Below are 12,163 nucleotides of genomic sequence, written 5' to 3'. Positions count from 1 at the left end.
ACCTTTTCTTAACTGGGCAGATAGTAAGTATTTTAGGCTTGCTGACCATACAGACTCTGCCATTGTATTGTCATAGACAATATGTAAATAAATGAGTGTGGCTGTGTACCAATAAAACTTTACTTATGAACACTGAAATTTGAATTTTATATTATTTTCATATGTCATGAAATAGTAATATTCTTTTGACTTTTTCAACCATTTAAAAATGGAAAAGCCATTTTCAGATCATAGGCTATACAAAAAGAGGTGACAGGCTGGATTTGGCCCACAGGCTGTAGTTTGTCAGTCTCTGACTACATGATTATTTATCATAGTATACTTAATGTATTTTTAAGGAAGCACTTGATATACTCATATTTTTGCAAAAACTTTCTTTTGATAAAGGGAGGATGAATCTTTTATGTAATTGAGCAATATCCTGATCTCTGCTTATTAGAGATTTATTGCTTTGAGAGTGAGCTATACAACTAGAAAAGTTGGCAAAATTCTCTCTGCTTCTAAATGATGTCATTTAAAAGTTCTTTAATTTACTCCCACCTTGACTGTTTTAAACAAATGTTTATTTCTCTCATGTAACAAGATGACTGCTGGCTTTGGTTCAGGATAGTGTGTCAGGTCAGAGCCAGTATCTCTGAAATTTTCTTGGCTGTTGTTCATGCTTGCTGCCTCATTGTTCCAAGATGGCTGACAAAGAAGCAAGCATCACATCTTCATTCGGGCCAGGGAGAGGAGGAAAGATGGTGTGAGATGTACATGTTCAGGAAGGCAAAGTCTTCTTCAAAGCTCCCTTCCCGCCTCAGCAGTTTTTCTCTTATATGCCATTGACCATCACCGAGTTATATGACCACCCCAATTTCCAAGGGAGGCTGGAGAATTTTAGAATACAATTTTCATGATTAGCTTTGATCAATTGCTTGGGACTGGGAACCTGGCCTCCAAGAAATAAATCGAAAGCAAGGAGATGGAGAAAACATATTGAAAAGAAAATTTTGAAAATTAAGAAATTGGCCTAAACAACAAAACTTGGTCTCTTAAAATTTCTACCTTTTGGAGGAATATTGTGTAAACATTACTAGACCTCTTATTTTGCATATTCTTCTACTAGCAATAACAGGAGGTAACATTTGAAGGGTTTGTAGAATACATGCACATGTTTTATCTACGATCTGTTTCCAGCTTTCAGGGTAGATATTACAGAACAAACAGAACAATCTCCATTAACCCACTGAGCTCACAGAAATGTCTGCTATACTGATTCCTGACTTGTTTTTATGTTGTATAGACTTTGAAGAAGGGTTCCACAGACCAGGAGAAGATTGAATTCCTGAAGGAGGCACATCTGATGAGGTAGCTCTGAAATAATTTTCTCCTGGTATGGGTAAGAAGTTTTAAGTCCGCTTGACTTATTTTTAACACCCAAAATGACATGACTTAACGGATCATGACTAAAACAACATGGTTGAAACGTTTAAATGGAACTACATCTGCAGAGCAAGTAGTCTATAGAGGCCAATCTTCTGAGCCTGGGTACAGGCAATCCTCAGACAAAAGGTTCTCCTTTCTTTTATCTTCAATAAGGAGCATGTTTTGCAAATGAATTCTGAAGCTGTTTGGCTTTTGACATGCTTGTATTCATCTAAATGTGTGATAATGGTCAAGTATACCCAGTAAGAGAGAGTTCTCTCAAATGCTATAATGTCAGTGAAAATATCCTTTGTCTTAGTAAACTTGTCTATCAGTTTGAGTTTGTGGTCATAAAAACTGCTCAAGCACATCTTAATGGGAAGACTTGAGGCAGTGGTTGATTGGGTCTCAAGCTGTGGGTTCCAATTATTAGGTTGGGACTTACTTGGTTTGATGTCTTGAGAAAACTGTGTAGCCAAACCCGCATTTCTGAGTTGTTTTCCTGAAAGGGAGAGGATATATTTCATACCTGTAATGACCCAAAACCCAATGTTTTTAAATATCTTTTCAAGGACGCTACTAGTCAAAATTACTTTCTTTTCCAAAATATGCTTAATACAAATGTTATTCCTTCTAAAAACCAACCTATTTTATCCATACTCATGGCCACTAGGGGTTGCCATATTACCTCTTTAAGGTAAGCACAAAGACCAGGAGTTGGAAAACGAAGTGTTAGAGACACTAAGTCAGGGGTTTTGAAGGAAACTATTGATAAAGAATTGCTGTACTCCATAAAGACCCTCGGCTAGGACTCCTGCTTCTGTCATATCATCCAGCCTGTGTCTTTCCACCTTTCAGCAAATTTAATCATCCCAACATTCTGAAGCAGCTTGGAGTTTGTCTGCTGAATGAACCCCAATACATTATCCTGGAACTGATGGAGGGAGGAGACCTTCTTACTTATTTGCGTAAAGCCCGGATGGCAACGGTAGGCAGTTGGGATCCATAATATTGGTTTCATAATGCAAATGCCCTATAATTCCCTATTAATTTTCTTTAAATTTAATAGGCTGCAGTGGTAAAACCTTAGAAGACTTACATGGAAAGAATTATTCTGTTTCCTTCACATTAGCTTTTGACAATCAGAACCCTGGGCTAACATTCTGGCACTTTCTGGTCATGTGAGCCCGAGCCTGTTTTTAGTATTTAATGGGAGAACATGACCCTCATTGCCAGAATCATGTTTTTCTGGAGCACAGGGATAGCGTGGAGTTGGAAAGGCATATCTCTGTACTTAATCTATATGCCTGTCTGTCCCAAATTATATTTCCAGTCTTGATGTCTTTACTGAGTACCAGACTTGTATGTCCCTCTCTAGTTGACATATCTTTTTGGATTTTAGTAGGTATCTCAAACATATTTTGCCCCAAACGGAGCTCTTGATTTCGTACGTCCTCTCCTACTCCACCCATCTACTTCCTTGCTTTCTCTTTCCCTACATCCATGCTAACAAACTCTGCCTGCAAAACGCAGCCGCAGTCCTTCTTCTCTTGTATCCCCAGTGCCTGGAGCAGTGCACAGCACATTATGAACCCTGGAAATACTGTGGAATGGCGGACAGGACTGGGGGTGACTACCTGTAGGAATCTACCTTATACCTTAGATGAGAACACGTAAGATAAGACAAGTCAGCAAAGTTTAAATCTGGTGGATTAAAAAAATTTTTATATCAAAATAAACATCATATGGCTAAAAAATTAAAATGTGTGACAAAGCATATAGTGAAAAACAGGAGCCCTGTGCACTGCCTCATTCCTACCTCTCAGGCCCCGCATGTATCTTGTGGTATTTACCGCCAAGTTCCTAAATAGTCTGCTCATACTGACACATGTTGATTTTTCAATTTGGGGTAAATTGATTGCCCAGTATGGAAGATGAGGATTTAACTCTCTTAGACTTCCTCATAATATACCTGTCCATCCCTCACCACGCTACACACAGGAAAACTTTGCTTGCCTCATCCTCTGACAATTATCACAATTTTGCAGATAAACCATCCTTCCAGGTTTGCATTATTAGAACTATTTAGTTATTATTATTATTTTTAGAGCTGAATTATCCAAATGTTATTAATGTAAGTTTTTTTCTCAGGCTAGTTTAATAAATATCTCTTGTTTTCATTTTAGTTTTTATATACGTAAACTCCCCAACTGAATTGTAACACTTTTCTCAATATGGCTAACAGTATCAGACAATCTAGTACTTAATTTTTTCTTGGACACTTCCTTCCTGGAAGCAGTGTGGATGCTTGTGCTCTAGGCTAGCTACACAGCTGCTGTTCTAGGGTTTCCTTCACATTCAACCTGGGAATCTTCCTCAATTCTTGTCCATGTGGGACTTTTTCCATGTATCTCATGACTTTTTGTTTGTTTTAGAAGAGAAAGTATGCATGTGCAGCAAAAATCTGCTTTTTTTTAATTTTTGAGAAAACGTCCTTTATTCTTCCCTCACACTTGGTTGATAATTTGGTTGGACTTTTAGGTTGAAAACTCTTTATCTAACAGATAAAGCCACTACATCTTTCTTTCCTCGCTTCTACAATTGCCAATAAGAATTCTTATGCCACTCTGATTCCTGAGCTTATTATCAGTGGTCTGTTTTTTGCCTCCTCCCCTTCAAAAATTTGAGGAAAATTTTATCTGTGGTACTCTTTACTCATAGTAAAGTAACAGTTGCTTTGCTAATCATTCCCTTCAGTTCCAGGATTTTTTTTCATTGTCTCTTTGATAATGAATAGAATTCCTTATTCCCTCTATTTCTTTGTTCTAGAAATCCTGTTATAACGGACTGCTTTGTTTCATCTTCTCATTCTATTAGCTGCTCTCTCCTATTTTCTAGCTTTTGTCATTTTGCCTTCTATTGTGATAGACTTCCTCAACTTTGTCCCCAATCTTTTTGTAGAATTAAAAATTTTTGTTAACATATTTTAATTTTTCACAGTCTTGTTCTTGTATTTTGACTGCTTTTTAAAATAATATTCTGGTTTTGTTCATAGATGCAAAATTTTACTCATCTTCTTTTAGGGTATTAATTATGCTTTTCAAAGAGTGTTAATTTGCTTCCTGCATTGTCTTGGCTTCCTTGTTCCTCTTTGTTTTGGAATCTGATTCAATGTGAGAATCTTTCTCAAATGTTTAGTATTCTTGGCTGGTTTCATATTTAATCGTGAGGCCTAACAAAATGATGGGAACCTATGTGTCCAAGGAAGCTTCCTTTTGGTGTTAGGTGGGACCCTGCTCTTCCACTGGGGGTCCTCCAATGTCAGTAACTGAATCTTTTCCCTGACATATGCCAGTTTAACCAGGGAGGAAATTGCTCGTTTCTCCTCTGGACAGTAAATGCCTGATGCATCAACTCAGAGCGTTTAGAGGGGGCTGGAGGTCTCAAGGCTCAGTATGTGGACTCTCATTTAATTTTAATTCTCTGCATTTCAGTACAGTGCCTCAGTGTGACTGGTAGTATCTCTGAACTTGGAGTTGTTCTGGTTCAGGTTTCTGTTGTTTTTATTTGTTTGTTTTCTATAGACAAAAGCCTTCATCTGTGGTAGAAGAATCTATGATTTAGTTAGGCCTTAAATAACCTAAACGTTCTTTTTGCTTTCAGTCCTTCTTCTTGTCCCTGTATTCAGGGATACCTGCTGCCTCCCATTCTGGAGACTATGAGCTTCCATAGTGAAAAACAGCTCAATTCTTGCCTTTTCTTTCTGTAGGCAGTCAGCTTTCATCTCTCTTGGCTCTGCTAAATTACCACTCCTCCATCTGCTTTCCCTCTTCCAGAATGCTTTGTCTGCCATGTCAGTTCTCATGACAGTTGATTTGCCCTTGTGAAATTATGAAAATTTTCACTATACTGCCATGTTAGTAAGGTTTGGGGAGAGAGTGGAACTAAAAATGCGCACATTCAATCCCTCATCTTAAACAATAAATTTTATTTGTAGATTTGTCTTGTTTTGTGGTGGGGCTGGGGGTATGAAAAGTGAAGAGAGGATGAAAAAGGATGGACTGAAAAAAAAAGTGGATCTACTTTTTCCAGATCGTTTTGAGTCACCCAGGATCCTAATGCTTATAAAGATTGGTTCTCACATGCACTTCAGCTGTTCCGCAGCCTTTCCTGGTGGTTGCCAAAAACAGCTTCCAGGGCTTCGTCTCCTTCGCTGCAACCATAGAGACATCGTTAGGTGCTGAAGGCAGAATGAAGGCCTGAGGCCTATGGGAGCCATCACAAATGCTACTCTCCCTCCTGCTGACTTCTTTTGAGGCCAGCCTCTCCCCACATGGAGTGCTCAGAGGCACTATCTCAGAAGAACCAGCAGAGGCCTTTTTCTCTTTCTCCCTGCATTCAAGGACTATTTTATTGGGTTGAATGCCTAAGAATTGACTGCAGCTAGGCCCGGAAAGCTTAGTCTAGTCCTTTGTTCTGAGGACTCAGTTTCTTTATCTACAAAATGGAATATTGAATCAAAAGCTTCCTAAGTCTCCTTTTAACTTTTTTTTTTTTTTGGACAGAGTCTTTCTCTGTGGCCCAGGTTGAAGTGCAGTGGCGTGATCTTGGCTCACTGCAACCTCTGCCTCCCAGGTTCAAGTAATTCTCTTGCCTCAGCCTCCTGAGTAGTTGGGACTACAGACATATGCCACCATACCCAGCTAATTTTTGTATATTTTTTGTAGTAGAGACAAAATTTCACCATGTTGGTCAGGCTGGTCTCGAACTCCTGATGACCTCAAGTAATCTGCCTGCCTTGGCCTCCCACAGTCCTGGGATTACAGGCATGAGATACCACACCTAGCCTTAACTTTTGTTAAAAGGATTGTATTAAGATAGAAAAAAGCGAAACAAACAAACAAAAAACTGTCAAAGTAATACAAATATGTAGTAAATGTGCTGCCTTCCAGATAACATTAAATTCACCAAATTTTTCCTGGGTGTTTGCTATACAACGGTGAAGGATGTAGTTCTTGCACTCAAGGAACTTGCTACATGGTAGGTTGTAAGTCTACAGACACAAGTCTACAGATACCTAAATAATCCACTTAAAGTAGGAAGTAGGTGGACTCATTAGAGTGCAGTGGAGAATATACTGCAGAAGCCCAGAGGAAGGAGTGATTTCCAACTGAGGAAACCTGAGAGGGCTTCATGGAAGAGGTCTTCTGATTCAGACACAACCAAAGCAGGAGGTAGAACAGTAGCTGAACTATACTTTCCCACTGAGTTATGAAAGGCTTTGACTAGGGATAGATTGAGATCAAAGTTTAATCTATCTGAAGGGTTTAACAAGAGATGACAGGTGGTAGTCCAGAGTAGCATCTAGAGTCAAGGAAACCCAACATGCAGTGATGAGGTATCCCAACAGGTTGATACATGGGATATCAGAAAGAGAGAATAGTCAGAGATCCAAGCAGGCAGGCAGCATTATGAAAATCTGTCAGCAGGGAACAGGGCACTAGCCACCAGACTGAAATTAGGGAGTAGGATCCTAGGCCTAGAGAAAGTCTTCACAGGTAGAGTAGGTTTTGTCAAGAGCAGAGCAGGGTTCCATGTACACAGGAACCAGTGAACCATTCAAGACATCCAGCAGGGACTCAGATACGGGCCATGATAATAGGGTTGGAGGATATTGATTTGGGAGTAAGGTCATAGCCTAGTTATTAGCCCTAGGTGTGGCTGAGCAGAACCATGGCAATAGTGAGCCCCAGAACATCAGGATTATTCCTAGTTTGGGAGCAAGAGATAAACGTGTCAGGGGAGGTAGGGAGAACACCACTTAAGAGCATTTGTTTTTAAGGAATTGAGGGACTTGGAGGTTTGGAATCATTTGAGATACTCAGCTAAGGCTGTCCATGGAAATCAAGAAACAGGAGCACATTCCAGGAGAAAAAATGATAGCAGGAATAAAGAAGAGAGGCTGAGAAATGCAGAGTAGGTATAAGGAACTGCAATCGGACCAGTGTAACGGAAGCACAGATTGAGAGAGGAGAAACAGTAGGAAATTAATAGACTTGTAGAAAGGCTGGTGCAGCCTGGGGGTGCTGTGGAGGCTGTGCTCAGGAATTCATAATGGACTCTACAGGAAGGGGGTCACAACAAATCAAGCTAATGAAAAAGCACAGGAGGCTGGAGACAAGGGAAATTTTTGAATGCATCAAATTAGGGATGACAAAAGCTTGAACCAGGGTAATTGCAGGACAATGGAAAGGGACAGACAATGTAATATAGCTTCAGGGCAGGAACTTTGAATTTTCCCAGTATGGTACTAATAAAAACTTCAACTGGCTTCTTTTCATGTAGAAATCATTGCAACCAGTACAGGCTCAAGTGTATGTTTGTACTCACTCTCTTAGATGAGAGGAGTAATTTGAAACTTTGAAATAGGGTATTGCTAACAATTTGCATGGGGCTCGTATGAGAAACAAGCCCATTATCATGACTGGCAAGACAGAGTGCCATTGGGTCAATAATTAAACCAGCTAGCACTTAAATGATCATTTTGACTACTTATGAGAGCAGCAACTGTTTATTAAGTGCCTGTTATCGACCAGCCATATATGTAACTTACTTGAATTTTGCAAGGTCAGTATTATTGCCCATTTTACACATGAGAAATTTGCTTAGTGAGTTAAGTAACTTAAGCAAGTTCACACAACTAGTAAGTAGCAGAACTAGGTTTCACATCTCGATCTGTCTGACCTGACACCTGGAGGTCTTTCCAATAAAGATTCCATATTGCCTCTACTTACTAAACATAGCTGTCATTTTTTATGTATATTTGCGTAGGAAACATATAAATTTGTTTTCCTCTTTGTTTGAATTCTTATAATCATAACTAAAAATCCCTTTAAAACATCAGATACATACATGCATATGCATATACATGTATCCACTTATATTCACACATATATGTATATATTTCATGCAAACTAGATAACTACCTGTAATTTTTCTTTCATTTCTTACAGTTTTATGGTCCTTTACTCACCTTGGTTGACCTTGTAGACCTGTGTGTAGATATTTCAAAAGGCTGTGTCTACTTGGAACGGATGCATTTCATTCACAGGTACAATTCTCTTCTGGATACAGGGTTATTACGGATATTGGCACAATAATCACCTGTAGTGCAGGTAAAGCACACAAGATAATTAAACATTTTAATTCCTTCAAACTAGCAATAATTTCTATTAAAAGTCTCTCTTATAAATCATTCTACTGTAAAGACACATGCACATGTATGTTTATTGCATCACTATTTTCAATAGCAAAGACTTGGAACCAACGCAAATGCCCATCGATGATAGACTGGGTAAAGAAAATGTGGCACATATACACCATGAAATACTATGCAGCCATAAAAAAGAATGAGTTCATGTCCTTTGAGGGAACATGGATGAAGCTGGAAACCATTATCCTCAGCAAACTAACACAGGAACAGAAAACCAAAGCAGGTTCTCACTCATAAGTGGGAGTTGAACAATGAGAACACATGGACACAGGGAGGGGAACATCATACACCAGGGCCTGTCTGGGGTTGGGGGCAAGGGAAGGGAGAGCATTAGGAGAAATACCTAATGCAGGCAGGGCTTAAAATCTAGATGACAGGTTGATAGGTGCAGCAAACCACCATGGCACATGTATACCTATGTAACAAACTTCATGTTCAGCACATGTAATCCAGAACTTAAAGTAAAAAAAAAAAAAATAGTTTCTCTTCTTTACAGACCTACTAGGGCTACTTCTTTGATTTCTGGAACTTTATTGTTGTTATTATTATTATTATTAAATATAACTTCTGCCACAGGGATCTGGCAGCTAGAAATTGCCTTGTTTCCGTGAAAGACTATACCAGTCCACGGATAGTGAAGATTGGAGACTTTGGACTCGCCAGAGACATCTATAAAAATGATTACTATAGAAAGAGAGGGGAAGGCCTGCTCCCAGTTCGGTGGATGGCTCCAGAAAGTTTGATGGATGGAATCTTCACTACTCAATCTGATGTATGGTAAGTTTAACGGGACACAGAGTAATGCTGACAGAATCATCAAACATTAGAGGGGATTTTAAAAGGACATCTAATCTTGCTTTTTTAATGTGAGAAAACAGAAGACCAGAGAGATTAAGTGATTTGCCTCAAGCTAAAGTGAGAGTTGGTGGTCAAGGTGGTACTATTCCTGGGTCTCAGCAGTTTATGCTCCTCCCTGAATCAGTTTTGTTATGAAATAGATACATTTCATTCAAATATTTTATTACATTCCAAAGATGTAAAAGCCTATGACTAATAGGAATTGGTACTTAGGAATTAATGTCCAAGTGTGTGCCCAAATACCTACTATTTGGGAATGTTTGGTCATTAATTTATCAGTAAACTTTAAATCATGGATTTAAAAGTATCCTAAAAGATTAGGACACTGGGGAGATTTGGACATCCCTTTATTATTTGAATGATGCCCCTTATTTTTGTTTGTTGACTCCAACTTTTGAATAGAACAGCTCAAAATGTAAAAGTTTGTTCAATGACTTTTAAGTTGGGCTGGCCCTAGGCAAAATTACGAATGAGATAAAATTTCTCAGTGCTGCCAATTTTTATTCATGCCTTCCCTCTCAATGTTTACTGGCACTTTATCCCCTGCAAACTTGGGAGGAAAATGCTGAAATGTTTTTGTGCTCACCCTTTGGTGTGTCTGCATGTCAATGCTCTGAAATTCTTAGATAATGGAGGCCTACAGTGGGGATTCAGTCAGGGAGAGAAACAGAGTATGAGTTGTGTGTATACATGTATATATGCATGTATGTGTGTGCACGTGTTTCTGTGTGTGCATGCATGTGCATGTGTGTCTGTTTCTGTGTGTGCATATGTGTATATGTGCGTGGATGTGCATGCATGTGAGCATGCATATGAGTCTGTCTCTGTGTGTGCACATGTGTGCCTCCTCCAAGCCTTCCTATCACCTTTGAAGTATTTGCTCATACGCAGTGTCTTGTTCTACTTTTTCTTGTCAGCCTGCTTTTATATCTGCCGTTTGCCTTTTATGAGGCCAATAATACACTGACAAAGTAGACCCTGCTAGCCCCAGGAAAAATGTTGTTGGAGAAACTACTGTAAACCTGGTGTTTGTAATAAGTATAATTAAAGCAAACCCTCTACTATTCTTAGGTCTTTTGGAATTCTGATTTGGGAGATTTTAACTCTTGGTCATCAGCCTTATCCAGCTCATTCCAACCTTGATGTGTTAAACTATGTGCAAACAGGAGGGAGACTGGAGCCACCAAGAAATTGTCCTGATGATCTGTAAGTTAATTATGTTAACATATGTATCCCCCAAACAAAAACATGTGCACATACAATCTTAGGCCTCTTGATATAGTTTGTTAAATTGTTAAAATAAGAACTGGAACTTAAATATTGTATACCCCACATAAAATATCAATTCATTGTGTCAATTTGTGAATATATTATGGCTTCTTTTTAATTGTATATACACATGATATTTCACTGAGAAACAAAATTTTGGAGAGTAAAATACTTCTGGTTAAGTAAAATACTTCTGGTTAAGTGAATTCTAATAAAAGCACTCCGAGTGTATGTGTGTGTGTGTGAGAGAGAGAGTATACACACACATATGCCTTTTATTTTGGGAGATATGATTTGACTAGTATCTTAATCTACATATTAAAATATTATACTAAATGGGAATATATTGTTAAAAAGTTGGATTCCCTTTGTTGATATAGCTGACATTGACTAATAAGAAATAGTATTACTAAAAATTATACAGGTTGTGACCTGTTTATGAACATAACAAAAAATGACTAAGTATTGTAACTTTAGCGAATCCTGGCCATTATTGAATTCCAATAGTGATTTCTCAGAAGAGTGAGTGAATTTTAGTCAAATTATAAGGAAAAAGGTTTTTATTCTGAGTATTAATCTGCCTCCTTGTGGAAAGTATCAGCAGAAATATTAAGTCTTGACAACTTTTTCCAAGAATTGTCTTACCCAAGAAGTTCCTAAAAGAGCAAATAAGTATGAACTCTCCATGTGCACCATAGCATGCCAAGGATTGTATGGATTACAGAGGTGTTTAAACCAGGGACACAGCTCTTCAGCATCTCAGAATGTGTTTTGAATGAAAAGACACCCACAGAGAGCAGTTGGATGCCAAGCCAACATGTAATAAAGTGCTAAACTGTGTGGTACAGGCAAGTGCAAAAGGAATTAGCAGTATGCGGATGCACACCATGGTTGTACTGCCTTGACTATGCTGTGTTATTTAGAGGATTATTCAGACTTGAGCCAAAAGATGATTAAGAGCTGGGCACCTTGGTTAGATGTTCTACTGGTGAATGTTTTTGTATTATTTAAATCTTCCAGCTAGAAGAAGATTGGAATTACCGCTTGTTTCTGATTTAACTTAATAGTCTCTGCGATGTTTACAGGGAGATCAGATACACACACATCTGACCAAATTTGATAGTAGTGCATAAAAAATGATTCATAATCATTTTGGGGGGAAATGGGGAAAAATTATATAAATTAAGGATAAGAAATTATACAAAATTTGAAAACCTTTCATGTAGGGTTTAAGAAAAAAGCCCAGGATACCTAAATACAAAATAAATTTTAATTAAATATTTACAAACTAATCACTGTTTTGCATCTCTTACACCTCTGTCAAACACTCAGAAATTTTTGCCAGAATTTCAGTTG

General features: G+C 38.4%; 1 protein-coding gene across 11 annotated transcripts in view; it reads left to right on the top strand.

Moving 5' to 3' along the window:
• ROS1 (ROS proto-oncogene 1, receptor tyrosine kinase) overlaps nt 1–12,163 on the top strand; it is a 138,590-nt gene that overhangs the window by 106,405 nt on the left and 20,022 nt on the right. For all 11 annotated transcript variants that reach the window (XM_017011173.2, XM_017011172.2, NM_002944.3 and 8 more), the window contains 5 exons: nt 1,286–1,350; nt 2,266–2,395; nt 8,421–8,518; nt 9,257–9,457; nt 10,610–10,744. In XM_017011173.2, coding sequence (XP_016866662.1) covers nt 1,286–1,350; nt 2,266–2,395; nt 8,421–8,518; nt 9,257–9,457; nt 10,610–10,744 — 629 coding nt within the window. The remainder of the gene's footprint in view (nt 1–1,285; nt 1,351–2,265; nt 2,396–8,420; nt 8,519–9,256; nt 9,458–10,609; nt 10,745–12,163) is intronic.

This window comes from Homo sapiens, chromosome 6, assembly GCF_000001405.40.
Source record: "Homo sapiens chromosome 6, GRCh38.p14 Primary Assembly".
NCBI classification, from domain to species: domain Eukaryota; kingdom Metazoa; phylum Chordata; class Mammalia; order Primates; family Hominidae; genus Homo; species Homo sapiens.
Note: the sequence above shows the minus strand (reverse complement) of the source record. Positions and strands in the feature narration are given on the sequence as shown.